The 25,730-nt window shown below is 36.9% G+C and overlaps 1 protein-coding gene across 1 annotated transcript in view; it reads left to right on the forward strand.

The window, feature by feature from the left end:
• PDE7B (phosphodiesterase 7B) overlaps positions 1-25,730 on the forward strand; it is a 343,874-nt gene that overhangs the window by 69,559 nt on the left and 248,585 nt on the right. The window lies entirely within an intron of this gene.

Here is a 25,730-nt window from a genome sequence, read left to right on the forward strand (position 1 = left end):
CTTGAATTTAATCCTTTTCTTAGATGGACAGATATATTCAGGAGGCTGTAGAGTTCAAAAGTGGTGGTAAAAGCCCTTCCAGTGGCAACAATAACGATGAAAGAACCCAACAGGCAGTTTTGTAAGCTTTACCCTGAACAAAAGCCAAGAGAACATTGCTTGTAACCAAACAAGGAATAAAAATAATACTAGAGTTTCTACAGAAATCAGTGCATGGAAATTCCCTGCTTATTAAGCTGTTTCCATTATGAGATGTTCCCCTATATTAAAATTTTCATAGCATAATATATCCATCATCTGGACATTCTGAAGATTTTTTTTTCAAGGAAAACTACTTCAGTAATTCTTTATAAAAACAGGTTTCCATTTTCTTTAAGAAACAAGGCTGATTTGCCAATGAAAATAAATAAATAGAATATATCTCCTAATTTTTATTCTAATACCTTCACAGAAAATTAAACCAGGTACCAAAAAGTCATAGCTATTGGGTAGGTTGTGAGTGTATCAAATTTGGACGAATATTATCAGATCCTAAATTAATACAATCAGAGTCTCTTTCTACCCTGTTCTCCACATCCCTTTCTACTATAAAAAAATACCCCTTATACTTTCATCCCAACCTCCTATCCTTCCCAAAAGCATCCCCAAAACAATGAAAAATAAAACTTACTGGAGTAGACTGAGAACAAGCAGTTTAGAACTCTCTCCCTCATTCAATTCAATGTACCTGAAATGAGCATTAGTATTAGAACTCAATTCATGAGGGTTATTTTTACTGTAGTTATATGAAATAAATCTTGGGGATTTACCTTAGAGATTGCATAAGGTCAATCTTGCATCCAAGTTTTTACTAACATTGTTTATTCTAACTCCTGTTTCCTTTTACCCTCCTGTAAACTGCCACCTCAAGATCTCTCAAGCCTTTATTTCCTCACATACAACTCTGGGTAAGGTAAGAGAAAACACAAGCCCAGAGTGGCATTTTATATGAGTCAGTAAGGTACACCCATGTATCAAATGGCATGGGAACCAGGGAATCATTTTGAGTTACTAGGTTCAGTAGTGAAACTCTGTAGTTTTCTTGGCCCTTACAAAACCAGGTCACAGCTGCCTGGCTTCCTAATTTGGTTTGATGTACTGTGAATTCCCAAGGGGGTGAGTCACTCTCTTATTCATATGGAAGTACAGGAGCCATTCCAAAACAAAAACCAGTCTGGGTTTATTTATGATTTTATATGCCCTTTACTGCCCCACTATACAGATGATCCAGAGTTGACTTTCAGCTGTTAATTACCATATTGGAGAGGAGATACATGGCATTTTTCATCTTTTGAGTTACAAGACTTCTTTAATGTGAATATTCCCTAAGTGCTTGCTTGCTTCTGCTTTTGGAATGCTTTACTGAGGCTGGATATATATTATGAAACAATGAATGCAAAATCAATCACACATGGAGAAAATCAAAGTAGTAAAATTAACAACATACCTTAAGAAACAGTCTATGTTAAGTCAGTGTAATAGCATCATTATACATTACTCTTGTTACCTATTAAGTGCTCAAGAAAACCATAAATACCTTGCTTTATAGACTTGATGAGGCAGAAAAACCTTTCCTGTGGGTCATCAAATTAAGATGCAGTATGACTTTACGATTTGTTCCATCTTAGAATTTGGCTGTGTTCTATCTTTCTGATTTCCCAGAGCCGTCCACTTCAGGATGTTTGGGCTTCTGCCAGTGGCCGTGGCACAGATGCTTTTAATAAAGGGATCCAACCACCTTCTGGAAAACCTCCCTGCTTCACTAGAACTTTCAAGAGATATCAATCCTGTTTTATTAGTGTTTATTTAAAAAGAAGAAGAAGAGAAAGAAGCTGAAGTAGCCAACACGATCTATGTAGTCTACTTTATGTCCCTTCTTTTGTCACACAAAATAGAATATTTCTCTTGAAAAAGGCTCATACAATTCCGTAGCTATATACTGAGTGCCTACTGTGTGGCAAACTCTGCACTAGGCATGGAGACACCAAGAAGATGCATGACTTGCCTTAGAGCTATTACACAGACGCAGTATTACTTTGTAAAAATATCTGATAACTAAAATTAATCTGTAAGGTATATAGAGATCTTTGTATAAATATCACATTTCATAGAATATTAAAAATATGTAAAATTGACACTAAGTGATTTGTATTATATATGAAATGTTTAGTATATGATTAGTAAAGCTTCATAAACAATGGGAAACTGATGGGTCATTCAAAAAATGGTATAGGCAGAACTGACTTTTTAGAAAAAAGTAGGTTATACCAATCTCAGATAAAACATAAAAAAGTAGATGAATAGCTGTTTGTATTAAGAACAATATAAAATAGAAAGAAATGAACACATATAGTGGTCTTACCACACAGAAGGAGTTTCAAGGTATAAAAGTCATGAATGAGAGAGCAAATGTCAAACTTGACAACATAAAAATGTAGAAATTATACATGGAAATTTTATAAAATTAAAACACAAGTGACAAACTTGATAATATACTTGTAAAATATGACAATGAATTAATATCCTTTATAATCAAAGAAACTGTATGAAACAATTACTATTACCAACCAGTTGTTACCAAGAGTAGAAAAATAACAACTGAGATGGTTAGCAGTACACAGTAAAAGAAATTCAGAGAAATGATGGACACAAACATATATTAAACTTCACTAGTAATCTAAGAAATCTAATGAAAGCAATAATAAATACATTCTTGCTTATCAAGTTGACAAATTTTTTTAAATGTAAAAACAATTAGTGATAGGAAGGTGCACAGGCAATCTCATTCAATTCCGGCCAAAATTTGAATAAATTTTCTAGACCTGTGTTTTACAGAAAGTATTTAGAAAAAAACTAAAGTTATTATTCTTTCATTCAATAATTCTTATTCCAGAAAAATTTCCTAACCTAAAAAACATGTAAAAATACATTCATCACAATGCTCCTTATGACCTAAAAAATTGGAAACAATTTAATTGTTCTGATGTAGAGAAATAGATATAGTCTATCCAAAGGATATTGTACCATATGGTAGAGCTTTGAGGGTGGCCCCACATTCTGCTCCCTCTAGATTCTCTCTGTTCCAGCTCCATCCTAGCTTCCTCAATTTCCCCAGAATGCCATAACCTGCCCTGTGTATAGGTGAGCAGTCTGAGAGCCTGAAAAGCAAGGTGACGTGTCCGAAGTCATACCATCTACTTGGTGTATCTGAAACCAAACTCAGGTCTTCTGGTAGCAGGACCAGAAATTGTTCTACCACATAATGCTTGCTTAGAACAGTGAATTTCAAACTCTGAGTAGTGGAATCTCTCTCTCTCTCTTTTTTTTTTTTTTTTTTTTTTTTTGTGGGATGTCACCTCTAAGTATTTTTGTTTTTCTTTTTTTTTTTTTGAGTGGCAGAATCTTATGCACAATTTCCAATAAATGAAAGAGATCAAAGTATTATAGTACTATATAGTTTTTAATGTAAAAGTATATTTACTTACAAAGTCAATCAGTGAGTAACATAGGAAAATACAAGGAAAATTTATTAAGTGTTTGTCATATAGTAGAAGTGGTTAGGTTGAGTGGGTAGGTTGGTTTTTAAAATACCAACAACAAAAAAAGATGCTGTTCTAAAAACACAAACATTTGAAGGCTGGGTGATGGATATAGTTTTATATCAACGTCAGCACACACTGTATTTCTATATTTGGGTGTTTTTTTTTTTTTTTGTAAAATGGGGAAAATCTTGTTTCATATGAATAAGTAGCTGAAAATGATGAACATTTTTAATAGTTTATATGCCAACCTGTCTCAAGATATTATTCAATTAAACTGAAACAGAAGCTGAAAGAAAAGAAGTAGAAAATTTAATATTTAAAAAATAAATCATTAAAAATACCCAACAAACATTATGTTCCCTAACTGCCAAGGGTTCAACTTGGAAAGAGTCAGTAACAGGGTCCTCAGGCAGTTTAGATCTTGAGTGAACACTGGGGAATGTTATAACATTATAAGATGTTCAACTTGTCAGTTGAAATCCCTCACATTATCCAAAAAGGGCATACCTCACTCTCTATCTCAGCTAGATAGTCACTTTAGCTTTCAGTCAAATTTATTTCATTGCTGACACATTATTTAAAATTTTAAGTTTGACTACAATGTGATCTTACATTGCAAAACTGAGCTTCTTCTGTTTACTACAAAAAATCAGCAAGACATGCAAACTAGTGAAATCAGTTTTTTGAGAACTATTTCACTAGATGAAATTCAGTGAAAACGAATTTTTGCCAGTACCTTGCCACAAAACACCCAAGGGACTTCAGCATGAAAAAAAAATTCTGAAATGAATACTGCGCATATTGTTTAAATAATTCTTAAAAGACAACAAAAAAGCAAAAGCCCTGGTTGAATAACATTTACAATTAGAATGATCTTAACGCCTTGCTTGAAAGATCTTAACAGCTTATGCTCTCCTATGCCACCCAAATAGCTTTTCAAAAATAGTGTTTCTGAAAGGCACTAGCCTGACTATTTTTTCCCTGATATTCATTTTACACAAACTACATAATTTTTTTTAAAAAATGTTTTGCCCTTTTGTTCGTTTGTGTGTTGAAAATTGTAGGTGAGAAGCAGTGGATTTCCCTCACCCATCGCTAGGTTCATGGCTGAGGCCACTATAATAGAAGACAGATTAACAAAAGAAAAGAATATAAATTGGTTATATAAGTTTTACATGACACTGTAGACTTCTTTAGGAAATGAAGCCTGAATAATGAGGCATGCTTCTGTTTTTTCTTTTTTTTGGGGGGGGGGGGGGGAGGGGGGATGGAGTTTCACTCTGTCGCCCAGGCTGCAGTGCAGTGGCGCAATCTCGGCTCACTGCAAGCTCCGCCTCCTGGGTTCACGCCATTCTCCTGCCTCAGCCTCCCGAGCAGCTGGGACTACAGGCACCCGCCACCACGCCCAGCTAATTTTTTTGTATTTTTGGTAGAGACAGGGTTTCACCGTGTTAGCCAGGATGGTCTCAATCTCCTGACCTCGTGATCTGCCCACCTTGGCCTCCCAAAGTGCTGGGATTACAGGCGTGAGCCACCATGCCCGGCAAACCTCTGTATTTTTTATGAAAGGCTTGAGGAAGAGTGGGCGGTCACAAGGAAATATGATTAGAGGACAAAGGGTGTGGTCTAATGGTACTGAACTGCGGGTGGGGGGGGCTTAGCAAAACCTGTGTGTTCACATTCTTCTTGGTATCTCTGTGTCTTTGGCTCCTATACCCCGGGTATAGGGAGAGCACTTTTCAAAGAGGGTCATATGACCTGCTTCCGGTGAAGATCAGAAAATCCCTCCTAGGTTTTATGACCTCCTTCAGGAGAGAAGAGCAGGGGTAGAGGGTGGTGGTCAGAAAGGCCTTCCTGTTTCTACTGCTTTCTCAAATGTCACGATGTACCACATTTTGGGGTGGCATGTCCTGAACCCCATCCAAACCAATCTAACGACTTCTACTGTGCGGCAAGTGCTTAATAAATTTTCCTTATCTTTTCCTGCATAAACCTACTGAACAAAGAAGAAAAATCAGCAGTAGTGATACTCTCAAAATGTTGACTCATAAAGATTCCGCATAATCTTTATGAATTCTTTGAATTAATGTAGCTGCTTGAATTAATGAAGTATGTTGAATTCATGTTCTTATTAAATATTCTTAGGTTATAGCACCATAATTCTAATTGTTTCTTCAATAGCAGCCTATTCATCTAACATACTTGTTAGCATATAGTTTAATGAGCTTTTTCTGGAGAAAATGCGTTTCTTCTTCACAAACAATACATTTTGTCATTGCTTCCATTTTTTTCTGTAACATGTATGCTAAATTAATCTGATAACCTTATTTTTATGCTCCCTATGCTTTGTTTTAAAATCATTTAACTTTATGTCTGGGTTCTCTATTCTGTCCCATTGGTCTATGTGTCTGTTTTTGTACCAGTACCATGTTGATTGGTTACTGTAGCCTTGTAGTATAGTTTGAAGTTCAGGTAGTGTGAGGCCTCCAGCTTTGTTCTTTTTTTCTTAGGATTACTTGGGTGACTCAGGCTCTTTTTTGCTTCTCTATGACTTTTAGAATAGTTTCTTTTAATTCTATGAAAAATGATGTTGGTAGTTTGATAGGAATAGCATTGAATCTATAAACTCTTTGGGCAGTATGGCCATTTTAATGATATTGATTCTTCCTGTCCGTGGGTATGGAATGTTTTTCCATTTGTTTGTCTCTTCTCTGATTTCTTTCGGAAGCATTTTATAATTCTCATTGAAGAGATTTTTCACCTTCTTAGTTAGCTATATTCCTAGGAATTTTATTCTTTTTGTGGCTATTGTAAATGATAATACCTGAAACTATAAAAACTGTAGAAGAACACCTAGAAAATACCATTCTGGCATTACATTGGCCTCAGCAAAGAATTTATGACTAAGTCCCCAAAAGCAATGACAACAAAAGCAAAAATTGACAGGTGGGACCTAATTAAACTAAAGAGTTTTTGCACAGCAAAATAAACTATGAACAGAGTAAACTAACAACCTACAAAATGGGAGAATATATTCCCAAATTATGCACCCAACAAAGGTCTAGTACCCAGAATCTGTAAGGAACTTAAACAACAAACAAGAAACCAATAATCCCATTAAAAATTGGGCATCAGTCATGAGCAGACACTTCTCAAAAGAAGACATACATGCAGCCAGCAAATATATGAAAAAATGCTCATCATCAGTAATCATTAGAGAAATGCAAATCAAAATCACCATGAGATACCATCTCACACCAGTCAGAATGCCCATTGTTATTAAAAAGTTAAAAAAACAACAGATGTTGGCAAGGTTGCAGAGAAAAGAGAGCACTTACACACTGCTGGTGGGAATGTAAATTAGTTTAGCTACTGTGGAAAGCAATGTGACAGTTCTTCAAAGAGCTAAAAGCAGAACTACCATTTGACCCAGCAATCTCACTACTGGGTATCTACACAAAGGAAAATAAATCTTTCTACCAAAAAGGCACATACACTCATATGTTCATTGCAACACTATTCACAATAGCAAAGATACAGAATCAACCTAGATGTCCATCAATGGCAGACTGAATAAAGAAAATGTGATTATATATATATATATATATTTATTTATATATATATTTATTTATATATATATATTTATTTATATATATATATTTATATATATATATTTATTTATATATATACACACACACACACATACACACACACACCCCTATATATACATATATACACACACATACACATACATACATATACACCATGGAATACTACTTAGCCATAAAAAGGGGCAAAATCATGTCCTTTACAGTAACATGAACAAAGCTAAAGGCCATTATCCTAAGTGAACTAACACAGAAACAGAAAACCAAATACCACATGTTCTCAATTATAAGTGGGAGCTAAACATTTAATATGCATGGACACAAAGATGGGAACAATAATAAACAGTGGGGACTGCTTGAAGTGGGAGGGTGGGAGAGGCAGTGTGGGTTGAAAAACAACCTATCAGGTACTATGCTCACTACCTGGGTAACAGGATCATTAGTACACCAAACCTCAGCATCATGCAAATTACCCATGTAACAAACCTGCACGTGTACCCTCTGAACCTAAAATAAATAACAGAAAGTATAGACCTACTATGCAAAATTTTCACAGCCTAAAATACAGTAAGAACTGGGTTATTTTTATACCTAATAACACTCAATGCAATTACCAAGTGCTATGTGGAAGGCCCTTCTGCATGCTACTTTTGTTTTGCACAGTGTTGGTGTGGTAAATAACGGTGAAAGAATCCAGTATATCAAGTCATTGTTTTTGTTCAATACATGGTAAAATTTTCTTTCCAAGTTTTCAGTTTTAAAAGTGACTTGTTTCTAATTTCAGAGTCTTGTTACATCATATTTTTTTTTTACAAAAATGATTCAAGAATACTTAAAACTTACAATGAGCGTACGGGACATGCAAAATAAAACAAACAAGCGCTTATTATTTCCTGTAAGAGTTTTATCTATAACTATGCTGTCTAAACATGGTATGGAGCACTTGAAATGTAGCTTGTTAGAATTGAGTTTTGCTATAAGTATAAAATATACTGCAGATTTCAAAGACTTAGTCCAAAAAAGTAAAATACTTCATTTTTAAATTAATGCTAAAATGATAATATCTTAGATATCTTAGGTTACATGAAATATGTTACTAAATTAACTTCACTGGGGTTGTTTGTTTTAGTTTTTTCCTGTTTTCTTTTCCTTTTTATAATGCAGCTACTAGAAAACTTAAAAGTACATATGTGACTTGCTTTATATTTCTAATGGACAACACTGAAAAGAAGTTAGAGGCCTTCCCTGATTTGATACTAGGAAATTCCATCTGTGTGATTGATGCCTCAACAGATGGTGCTACGAGGGCGTTTAGAAGAGGCATTTGACAGAACAGTGGAGGTTCATGAAGGCCTCCAGGAGGACCAGGTGATACCAGAGCTGTAACCTGAAGGGCAGATAAGGGGAAGCTCCTAAGAGAAGTGCAGGGGCTCAGAGGTAAGGAGGAATAATGGGCACTAGAAAGTAGCTCGGTAAACCTAGAGCAGTGTGTGACTAGGGAGCAAGAGCCAGAGCTGAAGGCCTTGTGTGCCAGACTAGGAATTCTGGGTTATTTTGAGGGAAAAGAGTAGTCAGGTGTATTAGTCTGTTTTCACACTGCTGATAAAGACATACCCGAGACTGGGCAAATTACAAAAGAAAGAGGTTTAATGACTTACAATTCCATATGGCTGGGGAGGCCTCACAATCATGGTAGAAGGCAAGAAGGAGCAAGTCACCTCTTACATGGATGGCAGCAGGCAAAGAGAGAGCTTGTGTGGGGAAACTCTGCCTTATAAAGCCATCAGATCTCATGAGACTTACTATCATGAGAACAGCACAGGAAAGACCTGGCCCCATGATTCAGTTATCTCCCACTGGGTCCTTCCCACAACAGAAGGGAATTATGGGAGCTACAAAATGAGATTTGGGTGGGGACACAGAGCCAAACTATATCACCATGGAAGGTTGTGGAGCAGGGATGTGACTGACTCAGGCAGTAGTAGATCACTCTGGCTGCTATGTGACAATTAGAATGGAGTGAGGCAATACTAGGAAAAGAGGGTCCCTGGGGCAGCTGTGCAGAAATCTAAGCATAGGATGAGAATGCAGTGAGGACTGAGGGCCCATGGTAGAATAAGGAAAGCCAAATGGATTTGAGAAGTAGAAGTAAAAGGACTCGGCAATGCATTCAGTTGTTTGGAGTTTGGAGGGAAGTGGAGGAGGCAGGCAATGAGAGAAAGGATTAAATCAAGTGAGACCCTAGGATGCTGGGTTGTGCAGCTGAGCTGGAAAATAAGAATAATCAACAATGCTATAAAAATTATTTTCGAGATATTCAGCTTCCGTATATCTTAATGGTACATGGGTGACCAAGACTACAATATACTTTCATGATTTGCCATAAGATTTCTGAGGCTACTTGGAGTTCTATGTGTCATTGAAAGTTTGCATAATAGTTCATTTTTCAAAAGTATCTTTTGCCAGAGCCCTTTGACTTTATTATTCTGATAATCAAAATAGTTTCCTTATGAAGAAGTATTCTTGCCAACTAACCTAACCACATATTTGAAACATCAGATGTTAATAGGTTGGCTGATATTTTATCTTTTGTGAAATTTGCCTTACCTTAAAGGTTTTCCACTTTAAAGGTCACAAAAGAGGTTTGCTTTCCTTTTTAGAAAGTAAAAACCACATACAGGTTCAAATTCGAAGATAAAGACTAGTAATGATTTCCTATAACTAACACATATGCCCAATGAGTAGTTAAAGATACTCAAGACCAGATCTTGATTTTAAACCTTTACATGAATCCATTCCATAATTTTACTCCTTTATTCCTCAATTTCACCTAAGTGATCTCTGTAAAATAATATTCTTTGATTATCCAATGCGAGTGATAGCACATGAATTATGTATGATCTGTTTGTATAGATGACATTGAGAATGTTATTTAATAACAAGATCATGTTTTTGAAAATAAAAATTACCCTTGGGATTTAGATGCAGAAATGTTTCACTAACAAAGGGCTCTGAAAGAATGTTGGCATCAGTTAAAGTGAAGGTATGAATGGTGGCAGGCCAAGAAAACAACTGAATATTAGTTTCTTGATTCCAAAGGTTTAATATTTTCATTTATAATAAATGAGTAACAATGATAAAAATTTTTTCCCAGAAATAAAAACAATGGAATATATTATGGGAAGTGTTACAAGGGAATGTCTCCTCTCTTAACAACTTGAAAATAAATGAGAGATTTTTCAACATGAAGAACATAATTCCACAATGATAGCACGGTGCACAATACATCATTTTTTGGAACATTTTGAGGCTTTAAGACTTTAGGTTTAATACCCTTGGCAATATACATGTGTGTACATGTGTATGGGGAATGGTAATCTGTGTACAAACATGCACACAAACAGAAATGTACATTGAACTAAAAATCTTTGTACAATGAGGTGGCGGGAGTGGGGAGCAAGATTTTTAAAACTTTTTTGTTACCGCGCACACACACACGCGCGCGCACACACACACACACACACACACACACACATAGGTATATACACTATTCCAAAAGCAGAGCCGAATATATTAATATAAATAAAGTAGACCTGGATTCAGGCCCTAAGGACCTCGTGGCTTAATAGACAAAGAAAAAAATGTAAAGTAGAAAGTGGCTTAAAAAATTTATAGGAAATTCAGGAAAGAAGAATGTTAACTTAGGCTCAAAAACAATCAGGAAAGTGTCATAAAAGATTGCCATTTCAGATATAAAAAAATAGAAAGAATGAATCAGCCCTACTATTTGATAGCACAACAGGGTGACTATAATCAATAATTACTCAACTATACATTTTTAAATAACTTAAAGAGTGTAATTGGATTGTTTGCAACTCAATAGATAAATGCTTGAGGGGATGAATACCCCTTTCTCATGATGTGCTTATTTCACATGGCATGCCGGTATCCAAACATTTCATACACCCCATAGATGTATACACCTACTATTTACCCACACAAATTAAAAATAAGTTTAAAAAAAAATCACCATTTCAGCTAGACCTTGAATAATAGGAATAATCTGAACATATGGAGAAGGGGAGGCAAACATTGAAGTTTTAAAAAATGGAGAAAGAGATAGATAAATATATAGATGCACACATTCATGAAATCGTACTATTGAGCCAGGAGCTTTCCTGATCATATCTAACCCCAGGACAACCTGTGAGGCAGAAAGTTTTCTTCACATTCCAGAAACAAGGAAGCAGGTTCAGAAAGTCTCCTATGGTCACCGGACTGGGAAGTGCCATGCAGGAGCTGTTGGATCCAAAGCCCACGTTCTCTGGCTCCACTTGTTTACACTTGCTTAATGATTTGGAGACATGAGCTTGTAGGACAAAGGGAAGAGCAAAGCTTCCCTTTGATTGGAGAGCAAGATAGCACAATATCCAAAGTGGAAAGTCAGGTTTTTCCTTCTTCATCTGTTTTACCTGACGAGGGCCAGAATTTAAGGGTCTATTAGTCATAGATGGCATGGAGTATGCACTCCCTGTGTTCTGGGCGCTGTGCTGAAAACCTTCTGTGTGTTATCTCATTTGATCTCTTAGGGGCTCTGTCTCCATGGTTTTTGGTGAAAGCACAGAGGGTTAGAATAAGGTCATTTCCAAGGTCAAAGAGCTAGGATACAGTGGAGTTGGGATTCAAACTCACTGTTACTAGACTCCACACAAGAACCTGGGGTCCTAATCACTAAACATAGTGCACTACAAAGCACAGTTATGTAACATATGTCATATGTATCTGTGTATAAATATGCATGTATACATATATATGTGTTTACTTTGTGTGTACACACACATACCTGCACAAGATACACCCCTTAAAAATTTCATACCTATCAGTGATCTCCAAGTATGCTTGTGTTGACATGTTTGAGTTTAATACAATTTGTTTAACTAGTGATCATGTTACTTGGTGATATTTTCTTCATTTGGCCATGAATTAAAGAGCATTTACTGGGCACCTGCTTTAAGCCAAACATTCTGTAGACAGCAGGATTCAAAGCTAAGATATAACTCTTGCCCTTAAATAAGCTGGTAGGTTTAATAAAATTGGTCTATATGTGTTGCATTATTTTGAAAGTTATTTGCTATTATTGTGTTCAATTTATTTTTTGGTTTGCTAAGAATACATAGAGATAACAGTTATAAATTACAAGGTTAAAAAATTCGAATAAGCAAAAATCTCCTAGTTTGCTAACTATCAGTTAAATGATAATCATTGTTAAATGATGAATATGTCATATTGCAATGTCAGTTTCACAGGCAGATTTACTAGGAAGCTAATGAAGTATGATCTTCAAGATTTCTCAATTTCATTGACACATTCTAAGACTCCATTCTTATTTTTGTGACCATTCATTTGTATTCCTTTTCTTAAGAGTCCTCCCTTTATATTTTATAAATTTTAGGATCTAAGAGGACCAAATATGCCCCTGGTCAGTCTTTAATAATTTAAAGGCAACCCAATGATTTGGGATTGATTTCACAGTCCACAAAAAATAAAGAACTATTTCTTTCCTATACCTCTGTTGGTACTCACCTCTATTTGGTATTTGCATTTTAGTTACTCCAATAGATACCCATACTAGAGCGTAAGTACTAATAAAAATTAAAACTCATGTCAATGATTATCTCTCCTTATAAAGAAGCCTACAGAGGGTCTTGAAGCAATAAAGTAATTTGAATGAAAACTACAAACCATGAATAACATGACACCTACTACTTCAAATAATCCCCAAGTGACCTTTATATAATTTTTCTTCTTGGACATTTGAAACACTTTGGTAGTTTAACTCCTTAACCCTGTACTAATGAGATAGAATATAGGTATTCCCTCCATTTACAGGATACGTACTCTGACCAAGGAGATTTAAAACAAATTTTATTTATTTATTTAATTTTGGTAATATTTGTCAGTGAAAAAAGCTGCTGTTTAAAATATATATATATTCGGGCCCAGTGCAGTGGCTCACGCCTGTAATCCCAGCACTTTGGGAGGCCAAGGCAGGCGGATCACCTGAGGTCAGGAGTTCGAGACCAGTCTGGCCAACGTGGTGAAACTCTGTCTCTACTAAAAAAAATACAAATATTAGCTGGGCATGGTGGTGGGTGCCTGTAATACCAGCTACTTGGGAGGCTGAGGCAGGAGAATTGCTTGAACCCAGGAGGTGGAGGTTGCAGTTAGCTGAGATTGCACCATTGCACTCCAGCCTGGAGACAAGAGTGAAACTCTGTCTCAAAAAAAAAAATATATATATATATATTTTTTAAATATATATATATATTTATTATATATATATTTTAAATATATATATTTATTATATATATATTTAATAAATAAATATATATATTTATTTAAATAAATATATATAAAAATATATATAAATATTTATTTAAATATATATTTAAATATATATAAATATTTATTTAAATATATATTTAAATATATAATATATATTTATATATAATATATATATTTCTCTATATATTTTATATAGAGATGAAGTATATATTTATATATAAATAAATATATAATATATATTTCTCTATATATTTTATATAGAGATGAAGTATATATTTATATATAAATAAATATATAATATATATTTCTCTATATATTTTATATAGAGAGAGATGAAGTATATATTTATATATAAATAAATATATGAGACAGAGAATTTTATATATATATATTTATTTATATATATATATATATATATATATATTTTCATGATTCTTGCTCTCCAGGAAAAACATCTTTCAAAAACATTGAAAGATATTTCAACACTGAAAGAATGGAGAAATCTTTGCCTTCAGGTTTGACTCCACCTAAAGCATCTGTAATAGATTCACTGCATGGCCTCAGATGCTAACTTCTTAGTGGAGTAATGGCATCAAAACTTGTAATCTGAACTAATTTAAGTATAACTTTATTCACATATTCTTCTCTTTAAGGATTTTCATCTCACGGATTTTAATTGCAGTAATAAATGGATTCAGTGTATTTTTGCCCCAGATTATGTACTCATTCTTTCAGCTAAGCAATATTTATTGAGAATCTATGATGTGATGGATATTGATCCTAGTGCTGGAAGCAGCAATGAATGAACTATACAGAAAGCCTCTACCTTCAGGAAGTGAGGGAGAACCTTGAAGAGGTGTCTTTCAAATATTGATCTTGCCAAAGTCTGTTGTGGAGTTTAGTAAACTGTACCAAAGCAGTGTATGACTGTTAGCAAAATACACATAATTTCATTTTCACTTGCAGCTTATAAAACCTGTCAGTCATTTCTCCAAAATATTGGATTTTCTAGCTCTAGCTTGGGATTTCCATTGATTGCCAGTAGAATTTAAGGAAATTTCCTTTCTGAGGCCAAATGCATGTCTCAGCGCTGTCCATGTGGAAATGGTCAATACAATTTGACCAGTAATAGTTTTTTGATTGTCTATGGGAACATCTGGATCTTTGACCTCACAAGTAGTTAAACAACATGCCCTTCTCCCTATGCAAAAGTGTTTGTTCGTTTGTGGCTCAGAGGCTCTGCGTTTGCATGTTGGGCTTCATGTTCTGGAAGTCATTTTCTCTAGCAGTGAGGTTATTTAATTCCAAGGACTGGTTTGAATTTCTTTTTAAACTACAAGTGTATAGGATTACATTTAATTGTTGGTTTATGTACAGGAGCATTGCTACACTGAGCTGCAAGGAGCACATTATAAAGTACTCGTTTGTCCTGAGTAAATATTCATTCAGTTACAGGCTGGATGAGAGCCCATGCATCTCTGAATCATGATGTCTGGAGATCTGGACATCAGATAGGCAAATATCTGGAGATATTGCTGATATTATCTATTAACCTTTTGCTATCTGTAGGGTCTTATAAAGTAGCTTGACAATTGCAGTGTAAATCAGGAAAACGAATGCCTAAAGCTTGGACACATCGACCAGATGGCTGGAGTTTAACAAGTGTGAGTACATATTTGTTGGCAACACACAGTCAGACAAAAAGGCGCTTGTCCTGGCAGCTCACAGTGTCGTCTGTCCAGGGGCGGCAGCAACACAGACTGAGGCCTTGCTGCACATTGTATCAGGCTCAGGGGCAGGAACATAGGGTCCTTTTCTGGGTCAAATCTCCCTCTGAAGGTGAGAGTCAAGTCAAGGAATGATTTTCTTGAAGTGCAGCATGCTCTTCCAGCAGTTTCTGAGAGGGAGATGTCCCTAAAAGGGTGAAGAGAGGGCATTTGTTCCAGGACCCTGGTTCCTCCACCTTCCAGGATCCAGAGGCCTGACTGTTCATCACCACTTTCAGTGCATTCTCAACGCTCACTCTCTGCATGATTCAGAAGGCCACATTCTTCATAATACAGTCATGCTAGACTTGGAATTTTGACAAGCCATGTTCTCATTTCTGTGATCTATGCTTCATAAAGACCATATGGAGTATACTAAATCTAAAGAAATCTATCTGATTGTGAACACACTGTGTGAGACACTACTAAGAAGGGAGTCAGAGTGAGGAGGGCCTCTGGTGGCATTTTCCAACTTGGCTGATTGACACAACTAAAAGTGTTAGACATAATTGGGAGTATGTCATTAGACACTCACTAACAAGGTGGTACCCCACTTAGCAGAACCCTTTTTCCACCTAAGGGTCCTGTTCAGTGTGGTGAGGAGCGACATTGGTCAGCAAACGTGGCTGCTGCGTGTGGTACTCATGTTACAGAAACTTCCTAAACCCTTTTGGGATCTCTCTATTGCCTTGAACAGATGGCCTGTGAGCTGCGGGGCCTTCTTCCAGATCCACGGCCTGCAGCATCTAGGCTTGTGCCCAATCACTAAATGGAGTCCTGCAGGGCCCTTCCTGATCTGGCCCCTGCCAACTTCCCCAGCCTTGCGTCTCTCCACTCTCCAGTTCTCCTGGTTATCTGAATCCCATTCCCTTCTAGCCATTCTTCATTTCCTTCATTTCCTCAATTGCCTTTAGAGTTTTGCATCAACAGTTTCTCATTCTTAGAGCAAACACCCTCCCAGCTTATCTTGCACCTCCAACCTTCACTGAAGACTTGTTTAATACTAGTTTCTCTCTCCCCTACTTAATCAGAATACATTATTCAGAAAGTTTTCCACAACCCATCAGGATGTAGCCAGTTTGGCTGATCACCTAGAAGGGACCCCTTTTTCCCAAATCTAGGTTGGTTCTTCCCGCTTCCTCAATGCCAAGGATAAGGGCACATCAGACAGAGTCACTGCCTCCATCCTGCCCCAATGACCTCTGCTCTGTAGACCTCTGGTCCTGCAGGCTAACCTCTGAAGGACCAGGGCTCTCCATCATGGGAGGAGCAAAATCTTCCCCTCATAAAACCCCATGATTTACATGGTAGAACTGTGCTTTGTATCTTGTACACACTACCACCAAATGACCCTATTCTGCTTCTACCTTCTTCCTTCCGCAAAACCAGATACACAGCAGGCCCCATTATGGTTTTAGGGTATATAAGATGGTTTCTCATATATTACATTTCTGTAGAGGAGTGAGCATTGTTACTCCCTGTACTCTACAATGAGTTTTGAAAGGAAAAGTCAACTCTGACTAAGATCACACAGCTGTTGAGGAATAGGTTTGGGATTTGAACCCCGATATACTCAGTTCTTTCCATTATGTCCACCAATCTGTTTTCTTTTCTTTTTTGTTCTATATTGCCTCCTGTTTTCTCCAACACAAAGTGTCTATGGACTTCACCTTTTAAAAATGACTGTATATAAGTGAAATGTGTTTGGCTTTAGTTGTTTGCCTTCACAGCTATCTTTTTGAAAACAAAGTGTGGCTAGGTGTAAACCCTTGGGATTCTGAGACAATAAGTAAAAGATGAAATAGCATTGCAAACTTCTGACATTTTTGAACTGTGTATCAAGATTTGTGGCATATGTATTTGAGTCTGCTACAGGAAAATTCCCAGAGCACATACCACAATTATTCCCAAAGTACCTTGAACTGAGATGCCTAGTCAGTTCCTATAACTGGGTGCACCAGAGATCGCACTGTACTCCATGCCATAAGCCTTCACAGGTACAGGTTTTTCTAAAATGGAGCTTGTGCAGAGGCTATAGTCGTTTTGCACAATGAAAGAGGCTGTCTTCAATGTGCATTTCGATGTGTGCTATGGGAATCAGGACTAACCACGACCCATGGAGACAATGCTGCATGACTTGGAGAGTGCAACGTAAGACGCAATGACTCTGAGCCTGCACCACGCCATCTGACCTCAGGATCTCCCTGCAGGGATACGAGGAGATCTTAGCCATATAGCCTTTCTATTGCCCTCTACTGTCTAGGGATAAAATGACAGAAAACACAGTTCTGCATTTTGGAAGTTTGCTTAATAACTAAAAAAATAAAAATAAAAATTACTCTTGGGCTGAAAGCAGGTTTTCCAAGTTTTGGTTCATAATAAGTAGTTTTTAAACATTTAAAAATAGGGGTATGTAATAAAATGCTGAGAGACTCTCTGGAGACCGCTGCTGCTGGCACTGCTCTAATAGAAAGCATACGCCATTGAGCTAACATTCTGTTCTTTGACTGAAGAAGAAAACAAAGCTGTTAAAAGCTGGTAAGCTCATTTTCCAATAGCAATAGCATTAATATCTTTCAAGTCACTCCTAACCATACCTAATTAGAGGTTTATAAGGGATGGCTCTTCTGGAAGGGTCACCTCAGGTTACGTAGCCCACAGATTTGCTGTTGATTGTTGGCAACAATGGATTTGTGTAGATTTTCTGCTCAGCTCGAGGTGATTATCTTTTTTCTTTTTTTTCTTTTGCTGGTGTGTCTCTTATTTTGACTGGCTGAGGTTGGGCTGGACGATGAGGCCCTGATTTGAAAGCAGTGCCAGGTTGTTGCTGGAGATCTGCACTGACAGATTGTTGAAAACTTATTAGTCTCTGACGTTTTAACAGCCTGCAATGGGATAGAAATCTGCTCTTTCACTGGAAAAGCTTAAAAAGGAAAACATGAGCTCGAGCTGAAATCAGCCCCAGTTCCAAATCTGCCGTCCTCTGGCACCGGAGTGCTGAGGGCTGCCACAGTGTGTAGAGATTGAGGCCTGACTATGCCACCCACATGGTAGACAGGACTCTGCATAAAATGATGTGGCCCTGGGCCACTGTCACGTAGGAGACCCTGAAAATGTATCTTCTGGGAGCTGGGGTGTTCTCAACACTGGGTGCTAATGGCTTCAGCAGTAGGAGAAATCAGCCTCACTGAGGTTTCAGCTGGGTGGCTGGGGGGATTCTTTTGGTCATAGCCATTCTATAAGATAATTCAAGAAAAAGGACTAAGAAACACTTCAGCTTGGTATCCTCTTTGGGGTAACTTCTACCTCAAATGGGCAAAATGATGGCAGCCGGTATCACTGGTGAGAGACATCTGGAGCCAATTAAGAGCTCTAATACAGAGATAGCTATATTGTAATTATTTGATACAATGCTAGAGTAATTCATTAAGCATCCTGGTTCTTCGAAAGCAAACCAAGCCTCTCCAGTCCAGTCCATAAAGATTTTTTTTTAAATCACTATTGACCCCAATTTTTCTCCAATCCCCTCTGTGACGACCACTTTGATTAAGCTCTCTGCTTTCACCCCCAGCAGTTTTGCTCCCATCCTTGGCAGCTGCTTTCAAGATCTTAACCAAGGTTCTGGACTTTGCCCAGACAGCTACCTATGCCTAGAGGAGTCCTCTCTTTTACCAGATAACTCTTTCCTATGCTCCAGACTCAGGCCTGCGGTCATGTCTTTCAAAGCCTTCTCCAGTAACCCCAGTCAGGGGTGGGTACCCAGCATTGAAAGTGCCCATAGCCTTCTATGTTCTGACTTCAGAGTAGGCTACAAACTTCTTAAGGAAAAGACCTGGCCTGAATCTCATTTCATTTTGTATCCACACTCATGATACACTGTTAGCACAGAGTAGGCACTCAGTAATGTCTTGCTGACTGTTCACTTATTCATTCACTCACTTGATAGACATTAATGGAGATCCAAACTTCCAGGCACTGTCAGGGAGTTCAGTTTCTTAACAGGAGATATCTTTTTATGCTCTACAGACCTAAACTACTTTCTCTCCAGGCCTATCTTCTAGGGATCTGTCTTTGATTAGTACCATTCAGTTCTTGGTTGGGGAAAAGTGTGAGATGAGAAGTGACCCAGATGTTTGGAAATGTCATCTCAATGTCAGGTTTCGCCCTTCATCAGCCCATTGCAGCTGCACATCATGCAGCTGCATCTATGGCAGTGCTTACTGGTGTATATGCAGAAATGTCCTGGAAAAATAATCTCTTCTCATGCTACCCCAGAAAACTTCAGAATAGCCCACAGAATTACGGTAAGGAATTATTCATTCATTCATTTAATTAACATTGGGAGCGCCCATTATGCATTAGTCATTGTCCTAGACATTTAGGGATTCAGTGGTAAGCAAATAAAATAGATGCAATCCCAATAGATATATCAGCATACAGGCATTTGCCTTGTTTACCTAAAACCTCATTTGGGAAATTCATGTATTATATGGCAAACTTGCAGATTCGAAGTAAATAGAAAGGAAGTGAGGGTGGGGGTGAAAGCAGCCTGTGCTTAAGCTATGCCTACTCCAGATTCCCTTTGCCACTCTTGGGACGGACAAGATGTACTTTACTTTCCACTAAACTTCAAAAACTTCCCCATAGACTGATCATGGTTAGCACTTTTTCAGCTCAAGAAACTTAGGTTTGATTTTTTTTTTCCCCAAAAAATGACTCTAGTCATATGTCAGGGGTTCTTTTTGTTCTGGTTGATTTTGTTTTAACATGCTATCTAGCACAGTCATGGAGTGGGTGAGTTTTTCTGCATTTCTGCAATAGCATTCAGTGTTTAGTTCCCAGCTTCATGGGTATCAAGAGGCAATTGCACCAATAAATTTCTAAACCCTGGATCACTGCCACAGTGCTGTGTTCTTGAAGTCAACAACTCAGTGATGCTTCCTAGTTTTCCACTTTCCCAATTGTGGCCCACTGGCCTAGTAAACTCCCAGCTTGGTGAGTCAATTTCACAGTGTGGTTTTGAGTGTCATTTCTGGAGGTCTAGCCTATAGCCTAATCCTCCAATAATTTCATAAACATCTAATTCCCTTTATTAAATTCCTTTCTGCTAAAAAACAATTATAAATGTGAGAAGAAAATAATAACCATAGCCTATTAATTTCTTTCTGATAACATTTAACATTACCTACTTGCAGAAAACTGTTATCTTCTCAGCTGACACTCAGGCAAACCTCCAAGCATCAAGGATTTCTGTCTTTGGTTTTATTTGTTTGCTAATGTTTCCACTGTTCTGAAGATATCAAGACACATTCTCTAAAAAGATTAGTTGCTGGAGGTCTGCTGAGAGAATAATAAATTCAAGTTATAGTAACTACTCAGGAAAATAAAAAGATATATGAAAGCTTATCTGAAGCAGAAAAAACATTAACTGGTTTAAGAAAGCTGGAAGTGCTGTCGATTGAACAATGAGAACAAAAACGTGAGCTTTTCACTGTTTTTAATAACTCCTATTGAATGTGATGTGGGACTATTATCAGTATTTTAATATTGTCAATTGGATATAATTTTTCTTTAAGGAAAAGAGGTTCATTTAATACTTAAGGGTGATTTTAAAAATGACTCCTAACATCAATTTTTTTATAACTAAACGTATGGTGAAAGTGATGATAAAATTCAGTTTACTTAAGAGAAATATATTTTGTGCACATTTTGCTAGAACATATTATTTAGTTCATGGAAATTATATTATTTTAATTTAAAAATTGTCTTAATGTAAGGATAGGTGCAGTAATTTTTATTATGTTTAAATGGCAAATTAAAATTATATATATCTATTGTGTACAGCATGATGCTTTGAGATATGTGTACATTGTGGAATGGCTAAATCAAGCTAATCAACATATGCCTTACCTCACATACTTAATGTTTTGTGGTGAGAATACCTAAAATCTACTCTCTTAGCAATTTGCAAATATACAATACATTGTCATTACTATAGTTGCCGTGTTGTACAATAGATTTCCTGAACTTATCCCTCCTGTGTAAAATTTTGTAATATTTTACCAATATTTCTTCAATTTCACCCTCTAACCTCACAACATCCCAAGCTCCTGGTAAATATTGTTCTACCCTCTGCTTCTACAAATTCAATTTTTTTGAATTCAACATAGAAGTGAGATCATACAGTATTTGTCTTTCTGTACCTGGCTTATTTCATTTAACATAATGTCCTCCAGATTCATCCATCTTATCACAAAAGACAGGATTTCCTTCTTTTTTCAAGAGTTAATAATATTCCATTGTGTGTGTGTGTGTATCTATATCACATTTTCTTTAGCCATTCAACTGTTGATGAACACTCAGTTGGCCCCACGCCTTGGCTATTGTGAATAATAGATGCAGTATTTTATAGCATTCATCTTTCCCTTCCTGAATAAAAGTCCAATTTTAGATTTAATGTGGAAAATTCTTAATAAATTAGCAACCAACTTGTGAAATGTTGTGACTTTTAAAATTAGAAGAATTTCTTCATTTTCAATCCTAAAAACTAATATGGGAATTAAAATAGAATTTTACTGGATCAGTTAAATTTGTTAATTTTTATTTTTGTTTTACAATCTTATCGACAATAATTTAAATCAGTACATTCTTGTGCATAATGAAGTAAAAACTAAGCTTCCAATGATACTGTGATGTAGATTATATTACCCTGTTTTACAGATAAGAAGGCAGATTTGCAAAACTAAATGCCCATGATAGTACAGTGATAAGAAGAGGCAGCGACAGGATTTGAATTTTGATCAGTCTGATCCAAAGCCCGTGCTCTACTAGATGGCAATTCTTGCAAACAGCCAGTGGTTAGTGGGTGAGAGAAGGGGATAAAAGTAAAGATAGTCTATTTGGCCAAGGCAATGAGCAGGTCAAAAGTAGCCAATATTCGAGAATCTATATATCTCAGTCAAACATCCAGTAAGCTGTCAACATTTATTCTATCCATCATTGGAGAAGAGTATTCCATAGTGAGTGGTACTGCCTGTGCCTCAATTTTCTACTCTGCTAAAAGAGTACAATGCGAGTGTGAAAAGTAGAGGCACAGCACTTAGTACAAGGCTTAGCCCATAATGTGGGCACAAATGTTAGCAAGTCCACAGATATTTAGTCTACCTAATCCACAAAGATTTATGAAGGCCCTGGTATGAACAAGGCAGCAGGATTACAATAATGAGGCATGTTAGGAACACTAACAATGGACATAGTTTGACTCTTTATGGTCTCTGAGGGCAACAATGGACATTACACACATGAATTCATATCCTCTGTGCTGTGGAAGGAGATCATGTGCCAGCAGGATCCCTCTGTTGCTAGCAGAGATCCAGCCCCTTGGATGAGTTCTTCAATAACTATGCCCTATTATCTGAAGGCAGTGTTGGCTGGGAGAGATGGGCACAAACAAGGCAAGTTGGTCTCGATATTTCAGGCACAGAAGACAAGACAAAGATAGAATCCCTAAGGAGAGATTGGATCCTGAGAATTAGGCAGAATCCTGGTGAGCAGCACCAGGTACAAAGTCAGGGTCACCTGGCAGCAGGGTGCTTGCATGGGGACTCCCAGCAAGCTTGACTAGAGCATAGAAGGAGGAGGGTTGCAGCACCCGATAATCCAGCAGGGCACAAGACGTTCCCCCAGGACAGATCCTGCAGTTTTCTGAAACGTAGACCCTGTGGCTTAGCCCAGTTAATCTCGTAAACTGGGTCATCACCCTGGGTTGCACAGCAAGCAGGAGCCTGGCAGCGAAGGCTGGATAAACACTGGCATCAACAGGAAAAAGCACTAGAAAGAAACTGGTTTTTTTCAAGCCCTGAGAACAATCAGATTCCCTCAGGTATTGCTTTCAAATCTGTTACCATCATCAGGTAACTTTACAAAACAGGGCAATTAAAGAGCTAGTTAAAGGCGCCTCAGCAATTTCCCAGACCTCCAGGGAGGTGAAGACAAGGAAGAGGACCACCTCATTGTCATTGGAAGGGCCACCACACCTGTTCTTGCTATTTGGTGATGAGCTTGTCTAGCCAGTGAACCCAGGCAGGCCATGACTGTTAAGGAATGCATGCTTCACAGGAGTTTCAAAAACTCCTCCTGAATTTGTTTATGGCCAAGAAAGAGAGCAAGACCCCAGCTCCTGTGCCCATATTCACACCAATGTGCCTGTTGAGTGGCACATATAAGGCTGCCCTTGGGCTATGATAGCAAAGAGAAGTTATGCAACCTCAACCCATCAACCCCTGCCCCTAGAGGCCCTGCAAGGAAAGTAGAAAAGCTCTTCCTTCACAACACATGTCTGGACTTTTTCCATAGCAAATGGCAGGGGAGCACCCTAGGGTCCTGGAGTTATTTCCTTGTAGGACTCAGAATGTGAATTGATAGAGCTTCCTAGCACTTTGTTTTGCCTAGAAGTTTAGAACATTTAGGAAACCTCTGATCCTTCATTTAAAAATATTAACACTTTCACTTTAATCACTTTAAACATAATCACTTTAAAATACAGGTAATGCAGAAAATGCATCCCAGTAATTTGAAAAGGTTTAATGTCTTCCAAAACAACGAAATAGGAACAAATACTATGATCAGACTCCATGGGTCGTTAATCCTCACATTTGCTTCTCTGACCTGACTTGGTGGCATACATTGGCATCCCCATGTTACTTATGAAGAAATGAAGCATGAAGAGATTAGGTGAAATGATAAATATGACACGAGGTGAGCAGAGTAGCTGGGAAGAAAGCTCAAGATCTAGGATCTCCATTGAGAACTCAATGCTCTTTTGCACCCTTAATCTGTATCCAACCTCCTTCCTCCATGGTCCAGCCTCTTGACTCACAAAAGCAGCTTTCTTTCTTTTCATATCACTGAACCAACTGTCCATCTCCACATAATGTAGGCCATCTTAAAAAAAAATGGATTGATTTGAATGTAACAGCATCATCCTTTCTCCTCTCAACTTGCCCCTCTTTGTACCAGAGGATGTCATAATCAGGTGTGAAGAACATGAATTCTCACATCCAGGAATTTTTTCCCCTTAAATTTCTTTGTCTTATATAATGTATAGTTACAACAAAGATTGATGGGAATGGAATTAACCAAGTTGTGAACTGTAAAAGAAAGAGGAAAATGAGTGAATGTAGCTCATCTTCGGTCTCCTTAAGGGCAAAGGAAATATGTAGTGAGAACAAGTTATTGATGAAGACAGTCCAGTCTGCTACCAAATGGCCTCTCAAGGAAGACAGGTGCAGAGATGTATTGTACAAAGGGCCATTTTTATATTCAGAGTTGTGAATATGAGGACAATTCTTATTTCAAAATATTTGAAATGAAGGAAAACATTCAGAGAATAATTTAAGGGACACACCATTATAGAAAAAATTGATAGCCCCAGTGTGCCCTCCAACATTTCATTTCTCAACATTTCTTCCCCCTACCCTAAATTTGATGCTTCATTATTCATTGCATGTTTTTTGCTTTTTCTATAAATTAATGTATCCATAAATAATATGTACTATTTTCAGATATTTTCAACTTCATAAAATATGGACAATTGTTTTTGGCTTAACATTATACTTTTATGTTTTAAACATTATATATGTCTTATATGATTGGCATATTATATATTTTATATTATTTGAATATTCCAGATTTTTAATATTATGTATTTCATATATACATATTATATATATATGTTTTACAGTATATGTAGCTCTAATTCATTTTAACTGTTGTGTAGTATTCCACTTATGAATAATACTTATTTGTCTGTTTTGTACCAAGACATTAAAGTTGTATATGAAATTTCTCTACTTATAAATCTAGAAGACAACTTGCTATGTCATAGGGTATGAACATTTCATCTTTGCTGGATTTTGCAAATAATTTTCTAAAGCAATTGTATCATTTTATATTCCATCCCGCAATGTGTGAGAGTATCCATTTCTCTACAGTCTTGAAAACACTTGTTATTGCCAGACTTCTAAATTTTGTGAAATTGATGAGTTGAAAATAAACCTCATTTTATCTTTAATTTGCTTGCTTCTGATCACAGCTACGGTTAAATATGTTTTCTATGTTTATTGACCATTCAGATTTTTCCTCGTCTATGAATTGCTTGCTCATGTACTTTATCCATTTTTCTATTAGATTTGTTATGTTCTCACTGATTTGAAAGATTTATGTATACATTCAAGTACTAACGCTTTGTCAATATACTCATCATACAACTGTGGCCTGTTCTTAAATAACTGATTGTATCTCTGCAGGAATTTGCCTTGCACAAAAGTTTTAACAAGCAAGTTAAAACTAAGATATAGATAAGAAAGTTGATATTTCCGTAAGTCTGTGAGTTCAGGAAAAGCATTAGGAATGCCAGTTTTTCATTATTT

Source organism: Homo sapiens, chromosome 6 (genome assembly GCF_000001405.40).
Source record: "Homo sapiens chromosome 6, GRCh38.p14 Primary Assembly".
Taxonomy (NCBI): domain Eukaryota; kingdom Metazoa; phylum Chordata; class Mammalia; order Primates; family Hominidae; genus Homo; species Homo sapiens.